At 38.6% G+C, this 22,706-nt stretch overlaps 1 long non-coding RNA gene across 2 annotated transcripts in view; it reads left to right on the plus strand.

Moving 5' to 3' along the window:
* Positions 1-22,706, plus strand: part of LOC105374510 (uncharacterized) — a 428,164-nt gene that overhangs the window by 70,776 nt on the left and 334,682 nt on the right. Inside the window, exon 2 of one of the 2 annotated variants that reach the window (XR_001741601.2) lies at positions 6,281-6,369. The exons of the other annotated variant lie outside the window; for it this stretch is intronic. This is a non-coding gene — a long non-coding RNA (uncharacterized LOC105374510). The remainder of the gene's footprint in view (positions 1-6,280; positions 6,370-22,706) is intronic. 2 annotated transcript variants of the gene reach the window in all.

Consider the following 22,706-nt stretch of genomic DNA (forward strand, 5'->3'; position numbering starts at 1 on the left):
TACTTTTCACCAGGTGCCTCCCATGACATGTGGAGATTGTGGGAGCTGGAATTCAAGATGAGATTTTGGTGGGGACACAGCCAAACCATATCATGCAATGAACATATGTGTGTATGTATCTTTATGATAGAATTTTATATATTCCTCTGGGTATATTCCCAGTAATGGAATTGCTGGGTCAAGTGGTTGTTCTGCTTTTAGCTCTTTGAAGAATCACCGTACTGCTTTCCACAATAGTTGATCAAATTTACACTCCCATCAACAGTGTATAAGCATTCCCTTTTCTCTGCAACCTCTCTAGTGTCTGTTATTTTTTGACGTTTTAATAAAAGCCATTCTGACTGGTATGAGATGATATCTCACTGTGGTTTTGATTTGCATTTCTTTAATTATTAGTGATATTGAGCTTTTTTTTTCATTTGCTGTTGGCTGCATGTATGTCTTCTTTTGAGAAGTATCCATTCATGTCCTTTGCCCACTTTTAAATGGGGTTGTTGTTCTGTTGTAAATTTGCTTAAGTTCCTTGTAGACTCTGGATATCAAACCTTTGTTGGATGCATATTTTGCAAAAATTTTCTCCCATTTTATAGGTTGTCTGCTCACTCTGTTGATAGTTATTTTTTTTAGGTCCCACTTGTCAATTTTTGCTTTTGTTGTGTTTGCTTTTGGTGTCTTTGTCATGAAATCTTTGCCCATTCCTATGTCCAGTATGGTATTGCTTAGGTTGTCTTCTAGGGTTTTTATAGTTGTGGATTTACATTTAAGTCTTTAATTCATCTTGAGTTGATTTTTATGTATGGTGTAAGGAAGAGGTCGAGCTTCAATCTTCTGCATATGGCTAGCCAGTTATCCCAGCACCATTTGTTCAATAGGGAGTCTTTTCCTCATTGCTTGTTTTTGTCAGCTTTTTCAAAGATCAGATGGTCATAGGTATGCAGTCTTATTTCTGGGATCCTTCTTCTGTTTCATTGGTCTATGTGCCTGTTTTTGTACCAGTACCATGCTGTTTTGGTTACTGTAGCCTTGTAGTGTAGTTTGAAGTCAGGTATTGTGATGTCTCAGCTTTGTTCTTTTTGCTTAGGGTTGCCTTGGTTATTGGGCCCTTTTGTGATTCCATATAAATTATAAAATAGATTTTTCTAGTTTTGGGAAGAATGTCCTTGATAGTTTGATAGGAATAGCATTGAAACTGTAAATTGCTTTGGGCAGTATGGTCATTTTAATGATATTGATTCTAAAAATGAGCATGGGATGTTTTTCCATTTGTTTGTGTCTTCCCTGATTTCTTTAAGCAGTGTAATTCTCATTGTAGAGCTCTTTCATCCCCCCGGTTAGTTGTATACCTAGGGATTTTATTTTTTTTGTGGTAATTGTGAGTGGGATTGCTTTTCTGATTTAGCTCTCAGTTTGGTTGTTGTTTGTGTATAGAAATGCTAGTGATTTTTTACATTTATTTTGTATCCTGAAACTTTGCTGAAGTTGTTTATCAGCTGGAGGAGCTTGTGGACCAAGACCATGGGATTTTCTAGATATAGAATTATGTCATCTGCAAACAGAGATAGTTTGACTTCCTCTTTTCCTATTTGGATGCCCTTTATTTCTTGACCCAAGAGAGGAGACTAGTTCATCTCCCATAGATGCTATACATGTCGCACCCCCCTTCACATGCACACACACAAACTACTCATCACTAGACAGAAAACCCTCGGCTTGAGTCCACAGCACACACCCTCCATCCTGGGCTGATTGCACTGAGCAATTGCTTACCTGCATCTCTCTGAGGTAGAGTCCCCAGGGGACAAGCAAATGACCCTCAGCAACAACCACTACTAAGATCTCTTCTTCTCCTGCCTCTAAGTTGGGGAAGGAACATAAACACTGAGATCACTCCAGAGATGCAGTGGACAGCCTAAGAGTGCATCTCACAATTTACAGCCAGCACTTAAGGGGAAGAGGAACCCACACTTTCAGAGCATCGAGAGGGAAAATGACTGTAACTGTGAGGAAACATAGGGCAACCACACAACCAAGCAAGAGTCTACCAACTGACCAATAACCTAAGTGCCACCTGCTGGATCACACCCCAAAGCGTCAACACCAAAAATAACTCACTGACATATCCCCCTCTGAAACCAGAGACAAGAAGTCAGCTTCAAATAAAGACCCTACACAAAGCCTCGGCCCAGTGAAAACAAGTCTACTGACTTTATTACATCTATACCACAGTTAAAAGAACACCCACACAGAGAGATGAGAGGGAACCAATGGAATAACTCCAGTAACTCAAATGGTCAGTGTCGTACATCCTCCAAATGGCCACATCAGCTCTCCAACAAGAGTTCTTAACCAGACCAAACTGGCTGCAATGGCAGAAATAGAATTCAGAATACAGATAGGAACAAACACCATCGAGATTCGAGAAGATGGCAAAACCCAATCCAAGGAAAATAAGAATTACAATAAAGTGATACAGGAGCTAAAGGATGAAATAGTCCATATAAAAAAAGATACATAATGGCTCTGACAGAGCGGAATAATCCAATACAAGAATTTCACAATGCAATCACAAGTATTAACAGCAGAATAAACCAAGCTGAGGAAAGAATCTCAGAACCTGAAGACTGGTTCTCTGAAATAAAAGAAACAAAAATAAAGAAAAAGTAAGAATAAGGATTGAACAAAACCTCTGAGAAGTATGGGACTATGTGAAGAGGACAAATCTACAAGTCATTGGCATCCATTAAAGGGATGGGGAGAAAGCAAACGACTTGGAAAATATATTTCAGGATATCATCCGTGAAAACCTTGCCAACCTTGCTAGAGAGGCCAACGGTCAAATTTAGGAAATACAAAGAACTCCTGAAAGATGGTACACAAGAAGATCATCCCCAAACACATAATCATCAGATTTTCCAAGGTCAAAGTGAAAGAAAGAATGTTAAAGGCAGGTAGAGAAAAAGCTCAGGTCACCTTCAAAGTGAACACCTTCAGGCTAACAGCAGACATCTCAGCTGAAACCCTAGAAGCCAGAAGAGATTGGGGGCCTCTCAGAGAAATGCAAATCAAAACCACAATGAGATACCATCTAACACCAGTTAGAATGGCGATCATTAAAAAGTCAGGAAACAACAGGTGCTGGAGAGGATGTGGAGAAATAGGAACACTTTTACACTGTTGGTGGGACTGTAAACTAGTTCAACCATTGTGGAAGTCAGTGTGGTGATTCCTCAGGGATCTAGAACTAGAAATACCATTTGACCGAGCAATCCCATTACTGGGTATATACCTAAAAGGATTATAAATCATGCTGCTATAAAGACACATGCACACGTATGTTTATTGCGGCACTATTCACAATAGCAAAGACTTGGAACCAAGCCAAATGTCCAACAATGATGGACTGGATTAAGAAAATATGGCACATATACACCATGGAATACTATGCAGCCATAAAAAATGATGAGTTCATGTCCTTTGTAGGGACATGGATGAAATTGGAAACCATCATTCTCAGCAAACTATTGCAAGGACAAAAACCAAACACCTCATGTTCTCACTCATAGGTGGGAATTGAACAATGAGAACACATGTAGGGGAACATCACACACCGGGGACTGTTGTGGGGTGGGGGGAGGGGGAGGGGGAGGGATAGCATTAGGAGATATACGTAATGTTAAATGACGAGTTAATGGGTGCAGCACACCAACATGGCACATGTATACATATGTAACAAACCTGCACATTGTGCACATGTACCATAAAACTTAAAGTATAATAATAAAAAAAGAGAGATTTGGGGCCTAAATTCAACATTCTTAAAGAAAAAAGTCTTCAAGAATTTTTCATCTGACCAAACTAAGCTTCCTAAGTGAAGGAGAAATAAGACCCTTTAGAAGCAAATGTTGAGGGAATTCATTACCAGAAATGAATTCATTACCAGCCTACCTTACAAGAGATCTTGAAAGGAGCATTAAACATAGAAAGGAATGACCACTACTAGTCAATACAAAAACACACTTAAACACACACTCCAGTGTCACTGTAAAGCAACCACACGAAGAAGCCAAACTAATAACCAGCTAATAGCACAATGACAGGATCAAGTCCACAAATATCATTACTAACCAAGAGAACTTTCTACAGTGATGGAAATATGTGTATCTATAGATTTGTGCTGTCTAATAGTAGCCACTAAACATGAATGGCTATTGAGCACTTGAAAACTGTGATAGTTTGAATGAGGAAGTGAATTTTACATTTTATTTAATTTTAGATAAAGTAGCCACATGCGACTAGTGATACTATATTTGACATTGTGGCTCCAGATTGAACTCGTAAAGGTCGTCCTGATGCTATTTTTGATGGGAAGCCTTGGAGAAGTTATATTTTGACATACGTTTTATATAGAAATGAGGGAATTAAAAAACACTTTTTCTCCCAACCACTTTGTTAAACACACATCTCCCTATTTTTACTGTGTTACTGCAGTGCCTTTCTAATATTTCTTTAACCTGCTTTGAATGTCTGCTGATCTGATTTGGCACTGCAATCACAGTTCTCTGTTCTGATGTAATGCTCTGCCCTCTCCTGTTAATTACCTGTGTTCAGATATTCCTATGGTTGAATTTCTTTCACTTCATAGGACCTCAAAGGAGAAAGATTTCATGGAAGAATATATTGAAATCTGTCTATCTATCTTTTAATACAATTTTATTATTTTTTGATATTTTTTCTTTTTCTTCTGGACATGTATTAAAAATTTGATTTTATCAACCTTTTTCTGATTGCTCTTTGAGGATGCTATCTCTTATCAACATGTGGACACATGGTGGTTATGGTAATAAGATCCATACCTTATCATGGCCCCCCATGGACATGCGTAGTCTGGGGAGTGAATACCTCTCTTACTTCATTTCAAACCCCTTTCCCTTCACTCACTGTGCTTCAGCTTTATTGTTTTATCACAATTCCTACAAGACACAAACATCCTACCAGTCTTTGCACTTGCCTTGCCTTATACTCAAGTTTAATTATCATCTCATTAGAAGGGCCATTTTTGCTCACTTTACCTAAATTGGCTGCTATCTTCCTCCTATTTTATTTTTTGTCACAAGCTGCATTTATTTTTATTTGTTTATTTATTATTGCTTAATGCTCTCTCTAGAATGAAAGCTCAGTGAGGGCAGGAATGTTGCCTTTCTCTGAATTTCCAAGTGTATACCCATTGTCTCATACAGAGATTGAAAAAATGGTAGTTGCTCAATAAATTTTTGTTAAACCAATGAATAAATCACAATTTGTCTAAGGATTCATAAACTGAATTCATAACAGGCTATAAGTCTGGTTGTATTAATAGCTATTCCTAAATCCTGTGGATTTATATTCTTACCTTCTCCATAGATACATTGTTGGATAAATTGACAATTCAAATATTTTGGGTGTACTACATGCTAGGGTATTTGTAAATAGGAGTAATACAATATTGTTCTTATGCATAAGAAGTACAGTTTATTGGGAGTGCCAGATAGGTAAACAATTAATTACAATATTGTGTACGTTCAATAACAGAGGAACATGCTGCCTGAGTCTTCCTGAGGACAGAAGGCTGCAAAATGAGAGCACAACATCTGTGACATCAAATGCACTGTGATTTGGCAGTTAAACAAAATGTAACCTGGGCTAGTAGAAAAGTCATGAATTCTGAAGTCGAAGGAATTTGTCTTTTAGATCTTGTTCTGCTATTTCTTTCTTGTCCTTGGCTCAATGCATAAATTTGTTGGGCCTTAAGTTTCTTCCTCTGAAATGGGAAAGGCAAACAATACCTCCTTTGTAGAATTATTGTGGGCATTAAGGACCACACCCAACTTGCAGAACCTTCAATAAATGTTTCCTCCTATCTGTCTTTTCTCTGTTTAACATATCCCCTAAACTAGAAAGGAGAATTTTTTGAGATGATTTAGTGGGGCTCCAAATACTCAAAACTTTACAGAATTTTTTTTCCCCCAGAGTAAATTGAGGACTTTCACTGTTCCACGCAGAGGCATTTATCTTTGAAATGGAAGAAGATTGTATTTTGGCTGGCCTGTATTGACTCCTAGAAAATGAAAGTAGTTACTCACCAAGGATATAAGCCTTCCCAGAGCTTACTGATGCTTCAATCCTAGAAGTTGTCAATGTTTAGTGAGGTTAAAGCAGCAAGAGTGTGGATATCTCTGTCTTATACCTTAGCTTCCAGGGAATTGAACTAAACATTATATCTGTCTCCATAATTCTTATACAGATTTTTCATGCCAAATGATGTGGGATCTGGAAAGATGGGCGAATAGGAATAGCTCTGGTCTACAGCTCCCAGCAAAACCAACACAGAAGGTGGGTTATTTCTGCATTTCCAACTAAGGTAGGCAGTTCATCTCATTGGGACTGGTTAGGCAGTGGGTGCAGCCTATGGAGGGCAAGCAGAAGCAGGGTGGGGCGTTGCCTCACCTGGGAAGTCAAGGAGCTGGGGCACCTCCCTCCCCCAGCCAAGGGAAGCCATGAGGGACTGTGCTATCTGGTCCGGATACTATGCTTTTTCCACGGTTTTTTGCAATTGGCAGATCTGGAGATTCCCTCAGGTGACGACATCACCAGGGCCCCAGGTTTCAAGCACAAAACTGTGCGGCTGTTTAGGCAGACACCAAGCTAGCTGCAGGAGTTTTTCTCATACGTACCCCAGTGGCACCTGGAACCCCAGTGAGATGGAACCGTTCACTCCCCTGGAAAGGGGGCTGAAGCCAGGGAGCCAAGTGGTCTCGCTTAGTGGGTCCCACTCCCACACATCCCAGAAACCTAAGAACCATTGGCTTGAAATTCTCACTGCCAGCACAGCAGTCTGAAGTTGACCTGAAATGATAGAGCTTGGTAGGTGGAGGGTCGCCCGGCATTACCGAGGCTTGAGTAGGCGGTTTTCCCCTGATAGCGCTAAGGAGGCTGGGAGGTTTGGACTGGGTGGAATTCGCCACACCAAAGTAAAGCAGCAGTGGCCAGACTGCCTGAATAGAGTCCTCCTCACAGGGCAGGACATCTCTGAAAGAAAGGAAGCAGCCCCAGACAGGGGCTTACAGATAAAACTCCCATTTCCGTAGGACAGAGCACCTGGGGGAAGGGGCGGCTGTGGATGCAGCTTCAGCAGACTTAAACTTTCCTTCCTGCTGGTTCTGAGGAGAGCAGCTGATCCTGACAAGGAGGATTCTCCCAGCAAAGCACTCGAGTTCTGCTAAGGGACACACTGTCTCCTCAGTTAGGTCCCTGATCCCTGTGCCTCCTGACTGGGAGAGTCCTCCCAACATGGGTTGACAGACACCGCTTTGCTGCGTTGTGGTGAATTCCACCCAGTCCAAACCTGCCAGCCTCCTTAGCACTATCAGGGGAAAACCGCCTATTCACGCCTTTGGTAACGGCGGGCAACTCTTCCCCCACCAAGCTCAATCATTTCAGGTCAACTTCAGACTGCTGTGCTGGCAGGAGAGCTCTGGATGGCATCAGGCCAGTGCCCCTCTGAGACGAAGTTTCCAGAGGAAGGAGCAGGCAGCAATCTTTGCTGTTCTGTATCCTCCACTGGTGATAACCAGGCGAACAAGGTCGGGGGAGTGGAACTCCAGCAAACTGCTGCAGAACTGCAGAAGAGGGGCCTGACCGTTAGAAGAAAATCTAACAAACAGAAAGCAACAACATCAACATCAACAAAAAGGACTCCCACACAAACCTCCGTCCAATCATCATCAGCCTCAAAGATTAAAGGTAGATAAATCCACGAAGATGAGGAAAAACCAGAGCAAAAATGCTGAAAATTTTAAAAACCAGAATACATCTTCTCCTCTAAATGACAGCAACTGTTCTCCAGCAAGATCTCAAAACTGGGCAGAGAATGAGATTGATGAATTGACAGAAGTAGGCTTCAGAAGGGGGGTAATGACAAATGCCTCTGAGCTAAAGAAGCATTTTCTAACCCAATGCAAGGAAGCTAAGAACCTTGATAAAAGGTTACAAGAACTGCTAGCTAGAATTACCAGTTTAGAAAGAATATAAATGACCTGATGGAGCTGAAAAACGCAGCATGAGAACTTCGTAAAGCCTACATAAGTATCAATAGCTGAATCAATCAAGCAAAAGAAAGGATATCAGAGATTGAAGATCAATTTACATAAATATAGTGTGAAGACAAGGTTAGAGAAAAAATGATGCAAAGGAATGAACAAAGCCTCCAAGAAATATGGGACTATGTGAAGAGACCAAACCTATGATTGATTGATGTACCTGAAAGTGACAGGGAGAATGGAACCAAGTTGGAAAACACACTTCAGGATATTATTCAGGAGGACTTCCCCAAGCTAGCAAGGCAGGCCAACATTCAAATTCAGGAAATACAGACAACACCACAAAGATACTCCTCGAGAAGAGCAACCTGAAGACAATAATCATCAGATTCTTCAAGGCTGAAAAGAAGGAAAAAATGTTAAAGGCAGCCAGAAAGAAAGATCAGGTTACCTACAAAGGAAAGCCCATCAGACTAACAGCAGATCTTTCTGAAGAAACCCTACAAGCCAGAAGAGAGTGGGAGCCAATAGTCAACATTCTTAAAGAAAAGAATTTTCAACCTAGAATTTCATACCCAGCCAAACAAAGCTTCAGAAGTGAAAGAGAAATAAAATCCTTTACAGACAAGCAAATGCTGAGGGATTTTGTGACCACCAGGCCTGCCTTACAAGAGCTCCTGAAGGAAGCACTAAATATGGAAAGGAAAAACTGGTACCACCCAGTGAAAAAACACACCAGAATATAAAGACCAACGACACAATGAAGAAACTGCTTCAACTAATGTGCAAAATAACCAGCTAGAGTCATGGTGACAGGATCAAATTCACACATAACAATATTATCCTTAAATGTAAGTAGGATAAATGCCCCAATTAAAGGACACAGACTGGCACATTAAATAATCAAGACCTATTGCTGTGCTGTCTTCAGGAGACCCATCTCATGTGCAAAGACACACATAGGCTCAAAATAAAGGGATGGAGGAATAGAAATGGAAGGCAAAAAAAAAAAAAAAAAAAAAAAAAAAAAAAAAAAAGCAGGGGTTGCAATTCTACTCTCTGATACAACACACTTTAAACCAACAAAGATCAGAAAAGACAAACGAGAATGCACAAGCCGCAGTAACAATGAAATCAACTGGAAGAAAGGGTATCAGCGATGGAAGACGAAATGAATGAAATGAAGAGTGAAGAGAAGTTTAGAGAAAAAAGAATAAAAAGAAATGAACAAAGCCTCCAAGAAATATGGGACTATGTGAAAAGACCAAATCTACGTCTGATTGGTGTACCTGAAAGTGACGGGGAGAATGGAACCAAGATGGAAAACACTCTGCAGGATATTATCCAGGAGAACTTCCCCAATCTAGCAAGGCAGGCCAACATTAAAATTCAGGAAATACAGAGAATGCCACAGAGATACTCCTCGAGAAGAGCAACTCTAAGACACATAATTTTCAGATTCACCAAAGTTGAAATGAAGGAAAAAATGTTAAGGGCAGCCACAGAGAAATGTTGGGTTACCCACAAAGGGAAGCCCATCAGACTAACAGCTGATCTCTCAGCAGAAACTCTACAAGCCAGAAGAGAGTGGGGGCCAATATTCAACATTCTTAAAGAAAAGAATTTTCAACCCAGAATTTCATATCCAGCCAAACTAAGCTTCATAAGTGAAGGAGAAATAAAATACTTTACAGACAACCAAATGCTGAGAGATTTTGTCACCACCAGGCCTGCCCTAAAAGAGCTCCTGAAGGAAGCACTAAACATGGAAAGGAACAAGCAGTACCAGCCACTGCAAAAACATGCCAAATTGTAAAGACTATCAAGGCTGGGAAGAAACTGCATCAACTAACGAGCAAAATAACCAGCTAAGATCAAAATGACAGGATCAAATTCACATATAACAATACTAACCTTAAATGTAAATTGGGTAAATGCTCCAATTAAAAGGCACAGACTGGCAAATTGGATAAAGAGTCAAGACCCATCAGTGTGCTGTATTCAGGAAACCCATCTCACATGCAGAGACGCACATAGGCTCAAAATAAAGGGATGGAGGAAGATCTACCAAGCAAATGGAAAACAAAAAAAGGCAGGGGTTGCAATCCTAGTCTTGGACAAAACAGACTTTAAAACAAAGATCAAAAGAGACAAAGAAGGCCATTACATAATGGTAAAGGGATCAATTCAACAAGAGGAACTAACTATCCTAAATGTATATGCACCCAATATAGGAGCACCCAGATTCATAAAGCAAGTCCTTAGTGACCTACAAAGAGACTTAGACTCCCACACAATAATAATGGGAGACTTTAACACCCCACTGTCAACATTAGACAGATTAACGAGACAGAAAGTTAACAAGGATATCCAGGAATTGAACTCAGCTCTGCACCAAGCGGACCTCATAGACATCAACAGAACTCTCCACCCCAAATCAACAGAATATACATTCTTTTCAGCACCACACCACACCTATTCCAAAATTGACCACATAATTGGAAGTAAAGCACTCCTCAGCAAATGTAAAAGAAGAGAAATTATAACACACTGTCTCTCAGACCACAGTGCAATCAAACTAGAACTCAGGATTAAGAAACTCACTCAAAACGGCTCAACTACATGGAAACTGAACAACCTGCTCCTGAATGACTACTGGGTACATAACGAAATGAAGGCAGAAATAAAGATATTCTTTGAAACCAACGAGAACAAAGACACAACATACCAGAAACTCTGGGACACATTCAAAGCAGTGTGTAGAGGGAAATTTATAGCACTAAATGCCCACAAGGGAAAGCAGGAAAAATCTAAAATTGACACCCTAATATAACAATTAAAAGAACTAGAGAAGCAAGAGCAAACACATTCAAAAGCTAGCAGAAGGCAAGAAATAACTAAGATCAGAGCAGAACTGAAGGAAATAGAGACACAAATAACTCTTCAAAAAAATCAATGAATCCAGGAGCTGGTTTTTTGAAAACAATCAACAAAATTGACAGACCGCTAGCAAGACTAATAAAGAAGAAAAGAGAGAAGAATCAAATAGACGCAATAAAAAATGACAAACGGGATATCACCACTGATCCCACAGAAATAGAAACTACCATCAGAGACTACTGTAAACATCTCTACACAAATAAACTATAATATCTAGAAGAAATGGATAAATTCCTCGACACATACACTCTCCCAAGGCTAAACCAGGAAGAAGCTGAATCTCTGAATAGACCAATAACAGGGTCTGAAATTGAGGCAATAATTAATAGCTTACCAAGCAAAAAAAGTCCAGCACCAGATGGATTCACAGCCGAATTCTACCAGAGGTAGAAGGAGGAGATGGTACCATTCCTTCTGAAACTATTCCAATCAACAGAAAAAGAGGGAATCCTCGCTAACTAATTTTACGAGGCCAGCATCATCCTGATACCAAAGCCTGGCAGAGACACAACCAAAAAAGAGAATTTTAGACCAATATCCTTGATGAACATTGATGCAAAAATCCTCGATAAAATACTGGCTAACTGAATCCAGCAACACATAAAAAAGCTTATCCACCATGATCAAGTGGGCTTCATCCCTGGGATGCAAGACTGGTTCAACATATGCAAATCAATAAATGTAATCCAGCATATAAACAGAACCAAAGACAAAAACCACATGATTATCTCAATAGATGCAGAAAAGGCCTTTGACAAAATTCAACAATCCTTCATGCTGAAAACTCTCAATAAATTAGGTATTGATGGGACATATCTCAAAAATAATAAGAGCTATCTGTGACAAACCCACAGCCAATATCATACTGAATGGACAAAAACTGGAAGCATTCTCTTTGAAAACTGGCACAAGACAGGGATGCCCTCTCTCACCACTCCTATTCAACATAGTGTTGGAAGTTCTGGCCAGGGCAATCAGGCAGGAGAAGGAAATAAAGGGGATTCAATTAGGAAAAGAGGAAGTCAAATTGTCCCTGTTTGCAGATGACATGATTGTATATCTAGAAAACCCCATCGTCTCAGCCTAAAATCTCCTTAAGCTGATAAGCAACTTCAGCAAAGTCTCAGGATACAAAATCAATGTACAAAAATCACAAGCATTTTTATACACCAATAACAGACAGAGAGCCAAATCATGAGTGAACTCCCATTCACAATTGCTTCAAAGAGAATAAAGTACCTAGGAATCCACCTTACAAGGGATGTGAAGGACCTCTTCAAGGAGAACTACAAACCACTGCTCAATGAAATAAAAGAGGATACAAACAAATGGAAGACTATTCCATGCTCATGGGTAGGAAGAATCAATATCGTGAAAATGGCCATACTGCCCAAGGTAATTTATAGATTCAATGCCATCCCCATCAAGCTACTAATGACTTTCTTCACAGAATTGGAAAAAACTACTTTAAAGTTCATATGGAACCAAAAAAGAGCCCGCATTGCCAAGTCAATCCTAAGCCAAAAGAACGAAGCCTGAGGCATCACGCTACCTGACTTCAAACTATACTACAAGGCTACAGTAACCAAAACAGCATGGTACTGGTACCAAAACAGAGATATAGACCAATGGAACAGAACAGAGCCCTCAGGAATAATGCTGCGTATCTACAACTATCTGATCTTTGACAAACCTGAGAAAAACAAGCAATGGGGAAAGGATTCCCTATTTAATAAATGGTGCTGGGAAAACTGGCTAGCCATATGTAGAAAGCTGAAACTGGATCCCTTTCTTACATCTTATACAAAAATTAATTCAAGATGGATGAAAGACTTACATGTTAGACCTAAAACCACAAAAATCCTAGAAGAAAACGTAGGCAATACCATTCAGGACATAGGCATGGGCAAGGACTTCATGTCTAAAACACCAAAAGCAATGGCAACAAAAGCCAAAATTGACAAATGGGATCTAATTAAACTAAAGAGCTTCTGCACAGCAAAAGAAACCACCATCAGAGTGAACAGGCAACCTATAGAATGGGAGAAAATTTTTACAACCTACTCATCTGACAGAGGGCTAATATCCAGAATCTACAATGAACTCCAACAAATTTACAAGAAAAAATCAAACAACCCCATCAAAAAGTGGGCATAGGATATGAACAGACATTTCTCAAAAGAAGACATTTATGTACCCAAAAAACACATGAAAAAATGCTCATCATCACTGGCCATCAGAGAAATGCAAATCAAAACCACAATGAGATACCATCTAACACCAGTTAGAATGGCGATCATTAAAAAGTCAGGAAACAACAGGTGCTGGAGAGGATGTGGAGAAATAGGAACACTTTTACACTGTTGGTGGGACTGTAAACTAGTTCAACCATTGTCGAAGTCGGTGTGGTGATTCCTCAGGGATCTAGAAGTAGAAATACCATTTGACCCAGCAATCCCATTACTGGGTATATACCCAAAGGATTATAAATCATGCTGCTTTAAAGACACATGCACACATATGTTTATTGCGGCACTATTCACAATAGCAAAGACTTGAAACGAAGCCAAATGTCCAACAATGATAGACTGGATTAAGAAAATGTGGCACATATACACCATGGAATACTCTGCAGCCATAGAAAATGATGAGTTCATGTCCTTTGTAGGGACATGGATGAAGCTGGAAACCATCATTCTTAGGAAACTATCGCAAGGACAAAAAACCAAACACCACATGTTCTCGCTCATAGGTGGGAATTGAACAATGAGAACACATGGATACAGGAAGGGGAACATCACACACCAGGGACTGTTGTGGGGTGGGGGCAGGGGGGAGGGATAGCATTAGGAGATATACGTAATGCTAAATGACGAGATAATGGGTGCAGCATACCAACATGGCACATGTATACATATGTAACAAACCTGCACAATGTGCACATGTACCCTAAAACTTAAAGTATAATAATAATAATAATAATAATAATAATAATAATAATAATAATATAGAAAAAAAGAACATTACATGATGGTAAAGGGATCAATGCTACAAAAAGAGCTAGCTATCCTAAATATATATGCACTCAATACAGGAGCACCCAGATTCATAAAACAAGCTCTTAGAGACCTAAAAAGAGACTTAGACTCCCACACAATAATAGTGGGAGACTTTAATAACCCATTGTCAATAGTATCAACTGATCAACAAGACAGAAAGTCAACAAGGATATTCAGGACTTGAACTCAGCTCTCGACCAGGCCAACTTAATAGACATCTACAGAACTCTCCACCTCAAATCAACAGAATATACATTCTTCTCAGGACCTCATCGCACTTATTCTAAAATTGACCACTCCTCAGCAAATGCAAAATAACTGAAATCATAAGAAACAGTCTCTTAGTGCTATCACATTAGAACTCAGGATTAAGAAACTCACCCAAAACTACATGGAAACTAAATAACCTGCTCCTGAATGACTACTGGGTAAATCACAAAATTAAGGCAGAAATAAAGAAGTTATTTGAAACCAATGAGAACAAATGGAAATGTACCAGAATCTCTGGGACACAGCTAAAGCAGTGTTTAGAGGAAAATTTATAGCACTAAATGCCCACAAGAAAAAGCAGGAGAGATCTAAACAACACCCTTACATCACAATGAAAAGAACTAGAGAAGCAAAGGCAAATAAATCCAAAAGCTAGCAGAAGACAAGAAAGAACTAAGATCAGAGCAGAAGTGAAGGAGATAGAGACACAGATAACCCTTTAAAAAATCAATGAATCCAGGAGCTGGTTTTTTAAAGATTAACACAGTAGATGGACTGCTAGCCAGACTAATAAATAAGAAAAGAGAGAAGAATCAAATAGACACACAAAAAAATGATAAAGGGGATATTGCCACTGATCCCACAGAAATACAAACTACTGTTAGAAATTACTAAAAACACCTTTATGCAAATAAACTAGAAAATCTAGAATAAATGGATAAATTCCTGGACACATACACCCTCCCAAGATTAACCAGGAAGAAGTCGAATCCCTGAATAGACCAATAACAAATTCTGAAATTGAGGCAGTAATTAATAGCCTACCAACCAAAAAAAGCCCAGTACCAGATGAATTCACAGCCAAATTATACCAGAAGTACAACGAGGAGTTGCTACCATTCTGTCTGAAACTATTTCAAATAATGGAAAAAGAGGGACTCCTCACTAACTCATTTTATGAGGCTAGCATCATCCTGCTACTAAAACCCAGCAGAGACACACACACACAAACAAAATTTCAGGCCAATATCCGTGATGAACATTGATCCGAAAATCCTCAATAAAATACTGGCAAACCAAAGCCATCCAGCAGCACATCAAAAATCTTATCCACCATGATTAAGTAGGCTTCATATCTGGGATGCAAAGTTGGTTCAACATATGCAAATCAATAAATGCAATCCATCACATAAACAGAACCAATGACATAACCACATGATTATCTCAATAGATGCATAAAATGCCTTCGATAAAATTCAACATCCCTTCATGCTAAAAACTCTCAATAAACTAGGTATTAATGAAACATATCTCAAAATAATAAGAGCTATTTATGACAAACTCACAGTCAATATCATACTGAATGGGCAAAAGCTGGAAGCATTCCCTTGGAAAACCGGCACAAGACGAAGACGCCCTCTCTCACCACTCCTATTCAACTTACTATTGGAAGTTCTGGCCAGGGCAATCAGGCAAAAGAAAGAAATAAAGCATGTTCAAATAGAAATAGAGGAAGTAAAATTGTCTGTGTTTGCAGATGACACAACAGTACATTTAGAAAACCCCATCATCTCAGCCCCAAAACTCCTTAAGCTGATAAGCAACCTCAGCAAAGTCTCAGGATACAAAATCAATGTGCAAAAATCACAAGCATTCCTATACACCAATAATAGACAAACAGACAAACAGAGAGCCAAGTCATGAGTGAACTCCCATTCACAATTGCTCCAAAGAGAATTAAATACCTAGGAATACAACTTACAAGGGATGTGAAGGACCTCTTTGAGGAGAACTACAAACCACTGCTCAAAGAAATCAGGGAGAAGGCAAACAATTGAAAAAACATTCCCTGCTCATGGATAGGAAGAATCAATATCGTGAAAATGGTTATACTGCCCAAAGTAATTTATAGATTCAATGCTATTCCCATCAAGCTACCACTGACTTTCTGCACAGAATAAGAAAAAAACCACTTTAAATTTCATATGGAACCAAAAAAGGGTCTGTATATCCAAGACGATCCTAAGCAAAAAGAACAAAGCTGGAGGCATCATGCTATCTGACTCCAAACTATACTACAAGGCTACAGTAACCAAAACAGCATGATATTGGTACCAAAACAGATATATAGACAAATGAAACAGAACAGAGGCCTCAGAAATAATGCCACATATCTACAACCGTCTGATCCTTGACAAACCTGGCAAAAACAAACAATGGGGAAAGGATTCCTATTTAATAAATGGTGCTGGGAAAACTGGCTAACTGTATGCAGAAAACAGAAACTGGACCCCTTCCCTACACCTTATACAAAAATCAACTCAAGATGGATTAAAGACTTAAATGTAAAACCTCAAACAATAACAATCCTAGAAGAAAACCTAGGCAGTACCGTTCAGGACATAGGCATGGGCAAAGACTTCATGACTAAAACACCAAAAGTAATTGCAACAAAAGCCAAAATTGACAAATGGGATCTAATTAAATGGAAGAGCTTCTATATAGCAAAAGAAACTATCATCAGAGTGAATAGTTACCCTACAGAATGGGAGAAAATTTTTGCAATCTGTCCATCTGACAAAGGTCTATGTAGGTCCAGAATCTATAAAGAACTTAAACAAATTTACAAGAAAGAAAAAAACAACCCCATCAAAAAGTGGGCAAAGGATGTGAACAGACACTTCTCAAAAGAACACATTTATTTGCCAAGAAACATGAAAAAAAGCTCACTATCACTGGTCATTAGAGAAACGCAAATCAAAACCACAATGTGATACCATCTCATACCAGTTAGAATGGGGATCATTAAAAAATCAGAAAACAACAGATGCTGGAGAGGATGTGGAGAGATAGGAAGGCTTTTTCACTGTTGGTGGGAGCATAAATTAGTTAAATCATTATGCAAGACAGTGTGGGGATTCCTCAAGGATCTAGGACCAGAAATACCATTTGACCCAGCAATCCCATTACTGGGTATATGCCCAAAGGATTATAAATCATTCTACTATAAAGGCACATGCACATGTATGTTTATTGCAGCACTATTTACAATAGCAAAGACTTGGAACCAGCCCAAATGCCCTTCAGTGATAGGCTGGATAAAAGAAATGTGGCACATATACACCATGGAATACTATGCAGCCATAAAAAAAGAATGAGTTCATGTGCTTTGCGGGGACATGGATGAAGCTGGAAACCATCATTCGCAGCAAACTAACACAGGAACAGAAAACCAGGCACTGCATATTGTCACTCATAAGTGGGAGATGAACAATGAGAACACGTGGACACAGGGAGGGAAACATCACACACTGGGGCCTGTGGGAGTTGGGGGGCAAGTGGAGGGAGAGCATTAGGACAAATACCGAATGCACATGGGGCTTAAAACCTAGATGACAGGTTGACAGGTGCAGCAAACTGCCATGGCACATATAAATCTATGTAACAAACCTGCCCGTTCTGCACAGCTATCCCAGAACATAAAGGAAAAAAACAGATGTTATTTATCTGAATACATTGAATACATTCTTTCCCCTACTTAGAGATGTGGGTGTATAATGCTCAAATCTCCATCAAAAGAGGAAGAATGAGTTTTACACAATAAATGTAGAGAGAATGTAATAATTAGGTTTTGGTGGAAAAAGCTGGATGGAAATATGGAGTCATGTAAGACTGGGTTTCTGTCATGCAACTAGCTGTACAACTGGGGCATTATGGGTTACTGAACCACTTTGAGATCCTGGTTTATGACTTTTGCCGATATATTTAGGTTTAAATGTTACTTCAGGTTACTTCTATATATATTTGCTTAACAGTTTTCAATTTTGGAGGTGATTTTCCATGTATGTTTTCTCTGCTTGGAATGCTCTTCCTTTAGATACTCACCTGTAGATATTAACTTCTTAACCCCCTTCGAGACTGTGTTGATGTTACATTAGTGACTCCTCTTTGGAACCTTCTTTGAACATTGCAACTCCATCTTTCTCATCACTTATCACTTCTTTTCCCTTCTTCATTTCTCCATAACACTTATTACCTTATGATGTACTTTGTAATTTACTTATTTATTATGTTCGTGGCCTGTCTCCCCAGTTTGGAGTGTTAGCTTCAAGTTGGCAGACATTTTTGCACTTTGGTTTAGATCTATGATAAGACAAGATAAATAGCATGGATTTAATATTTGTCAGGTGAATGAATGAATGAATGAATGAATGAATTCTCTCCTTGGATTCTCAGACAATTCTGTGATGTAGTTTGAATACTCATTGATAGTTTAGAAATGAGGTATAGTAGGGAAATCAAAAGATAACTTAATGTTCTATGCCTGATTCCGCTCTCAATGCCAAGGACTTGCTTAACTTTCTAAGCACAAGAAAGCCCCAGAAGATTTCACTGAAAACCTCCTGTGTAGAGCTGGAAGCTCAAACTGCAAATTCTCCACCCTCTATGACCTTCTAAGGAAATTTATGACATAAGTTTGTCCTTGTGCTTCTTGATTTGCTAACTTCTCTTAGTTTAACTGAAAATATTCTACTAACTTGCTAATACATTTAAGTACAATTTTAAATTTCTTTTAAAGACAATTGAAAATACAGTTTAATTATTTTAAAGATCATATATATGTGTATGTATGTGTATATATGTGCATACACAGTCAGTTTGGAAAACGCAGATGAGAACAACAATACAAGAAAATTATGACAAAAATGCACTGCCAAGTGGTAATCATAATGAACATTTTGATCATTCTCTCTTGCTTTCCATTTATATATACATCCCCCAGCTATTTATTCAACAACTAGTGATCATTATGTGCCAGATTTTGTTCTAGCTAATACAGTGACTATAGGTAGGTTTATATATATTTGATAATATAGGACTATATCATCCATATTATTTTTAAACCACTTTTAAAAAATACAGTGAACATCTCATGTCATTAATGGTTTTCCTATTTCGATTAAAATAATGCATCATTTAACTGAGAGTATGAGAATCCACTTTAGAGATTTACCAGAGATTAGTCAATTTCTTCTTTTTAGGGAAGTTGAGTCTTTTCCAAATATTTAAGTTTCCTTAATCCTTAAAGGTGTATTTTAACTCTGTGAAATCCTCAAGGGCAATGATCTTGTCCTGTTTATTCATTTTATCAAGTGTAGTAGCTATTATATCATTAATTTGACAGATGAGAAAACTGAGGCTTAGAGAAGTTAAGTAATTTACTAACAGCCATAGAGTCAGGAAATGGCTGAAATGACCACCAAAGCCAAATATGACTGCAAATTCCATGTTATTTCAGCCACACCTGCATCACATGGGTGATTCTCTCTCACTTCCTCTAATAATTGTCAATATTATTCCAATACCAAGGCTACCTTGGCCTGGGCCCACCTTTCAGGGCCAGGCTTGTTTTCCTGGCTTTGTTGCCTGTAACAGTTTTTCTGAGATCCCAATGTCTGCAGTTTTTCATGACACCTAAACTTCTATATTCTAGTATAATCTCCTTCTTAGGAAAAATCTTCAAAGTCATTCATGGTATGGTATGTAAAACATACAAAAATGGAAAGATCGCCACTCCCAGCAGGATTTACATTTTTAGAATGGTCAGGAAGTCTTAAGATAAAAATAGAGCACACTAATGATGAAATTTTAGATATTGGTAGTATATGAGATGGATCTTTAGCTAAGTAGAGGTTTTCATGCAGAGAAGTTGGCTAGTGGGAGGGAAGTGTGTTTTAGGTATATGAAGTGCTCTCAGCAAAGGCAGGGGTGTAAAGGAGTGTGTTGGATTCAGGGGACAGTGAGCTTCACATTGTGTGTGGTGTATAGCTGAGAGCAGAGAGATCAACCAGTAGCCATTGCTTGGGACGTGAAGTCTCTGGAAGTTTATGCTTACCTGTGTGTAAGCTGATCTCTTGGGTGAGGGGCAGGTGCAGTCCATTAACTTACATGTGGAGTTCTAATTGGAAACCCAATTAGACAGGGTGCCTAATTGCTCTGCTTCAAGACACCCAAATCATCTGATTATTGAACATGTTATTTCACTTTCATAACTATGTACACAAACTCTGTGGCCTTGAACATGAATGGCTTTGCTATATACTGATTAAATAAGTAGCCCTTCTTACATTTCAAGGCCACCATTCATGTATGTTGCATTTTGTTGTCTTTTTAATTAACTTTTGCTTTACTGAAAATAAATTAGAAAGATCAATTTGATTATTCTTATAAGTAGTATCTTAATGGAAGACTCTCAGCATTTTAGCCAAGTAGATCTAGTCAAGTTGCTTTGTGCCTTTGAGTTCCAGACTGCTTCTGTGGAAAGTGGAGATAATATACCTAACATTTGCTGTGATGAGTAAATGAAGAAATGAGTGCACATGAATGACTAAGAAAAGGCACTCAATAAGTGGTATCATTGTTGGTATTATTTCAATAATAATGTATCATATGCGACGATATCAGAACTAGAAGGAGATGATTTATTGGTTAATCAGTGTCTTCATTCATTCATCCATTTAACATATATTTGTTGAATATTTTCTGTGAATCAAGGATTGTGCTAAGTTTTAGTAGTAAAGCCTAAAATGTAACACTGATATTGCCTTCATGGGGCTCATTCTTGTGAAGGCACATATGTTAGTTTTTGTGGCTGCTGGAACAAATGCCTACCTTAGTGGCTTAAAATAATGCAAGTTTATTATCTTACAGTTCTATAAGTCAGAAGTCCAACATGGATCTCACTGGGCTAAAATCAGCAGGGTTGTCTTCTTTTCTAGAAGCTCTAGAGGAGAGTCCGTTTCCTTGCCTTTTCCATTTTTTTAGAGGCTGCTCCTATTCCTTGGCTCATAGTCCCTTCCTCTGTCATCAAAGTCAGCAACTTGGTGTCTCCTTGACCATTCTTCTGTTGCCACATTTCTTTCTGACTCTGATCTCAATCAGAAAAGATTCTTTGAAGGACATATGATTTAGTTGGGTCCACCATGATATTCTAGGATAATTTCCCCATCTAAGGGTCCTTAAGCATAATCACAAGTGCCAAGTCCCTTTTTCCATATGAGGTAATATATTCCCATGTTCCAGAGGTTAGGATGTGGACACCTTTGGGGGAACATTATTCTGCCTACCACAGGAAATATACTATAAACAACAAAATATGAGCAAATAAATATGAATAGGTAGTGTGAGTTATTGATAAGAGTTAGGGACTAAGTAAAGCAAGCTAAAAGGAATACAGAGTTCCAGGGAGGAAAAGGGATTACAATTTGTCTGGGCAGTCCAGTAAGTCCTCACTGATAAGGTGACATTTGAGTGACACTTGAATTAGGTTTAAGCAGAAATTATTTAACAAACCTATACTGCTAAGACTAAATGCTTTTGCCACCTCCACAAATTCATCCTAACCCCCAAGTTGATGACATTAGGAGGTAAAGCCTTTGGTAGGTGATTAGGCCATGAGGGCAGATCTCTCATGAATGGGATTAGTGCTCTTATGAAAGAGACCCCAGAGAGATCCCTTACCAGGTGAGGACACAATGAGAAGACAGCGATCTATGAATGAGAGACTTCTTACCTGCTGGCTCCTTGATCCTGCATTGTTTATTTTTTATAAACTACCCTACCTGTGGTATTCTGTTTTGTTTTTTATAAACTACCCTACCTATGGTATTCTGTTATAGCAGTTCAAGTGGGCTAAGACATAAACTTTAAACATTTTTCTTGAACATAAAATGAATGAAGTGTATTTATTCACTAAACATTGATAAACGTCCAAGCCATTTCTGAATACATGAGCCTTCAGATAGGATACTAATCATGCATTGAGATTTTTTCTTTTCTTTTCTTTAAAGTGGACCAAGAACCTAAGATATTGATGAAAGCAATTTGAATTCTTAATCTTCAGGATTTTGACAATTTTCTCCCAATTTTTTATAGTTGTTTCTATAGCAAACTTTTTATTATCTTTCCTCTTTTCATACTCGCTTTATTGGTTTATATAAAACCAACGACTAAATTAAGTAATTTACAACAACAATTACAACTATAATGGGAACAAGTTGAACAGACTTCTGATAAATGTACCATTCAAATAATGGGAGAAGTATATGGGTATGTTAGACAGTAGACTATTGACTCTGGGTGAGGGTGCCACAGGCAATAATAGCTCTGTAGTTAATGGAGGAAATGAGAAGTATCATTGCTTTATCTGATGTGTTAATTAAATGGTGGTCTCTTACAAATGCTCTTACAGCATTACTAACCTGAATTCAATCAACCTTTATACCAAAGTTTCATCATTTTAAAAATTTGATGAAAAGGCTTAATGGGTATGAGATAGAAATATGAGTTGTTGTAGTGTAAAGATAGTTGAAGTTACAGAATTAGATGCATTCAATATTTATTCCAAAGACTTTCTATTGAA

Source organism: Homo sapiens, chromosome 4 (genome assembly GCF_000001405.40).
Source record: "Homo sapiens chromosome 4, GRCh38.p14 Primary Assembly".
Lineage (NCBI taxonomy): Eukaryota > Metazoa > Chordata > Mammalia > Primates > Hominidae > Homo > Homo sapiens.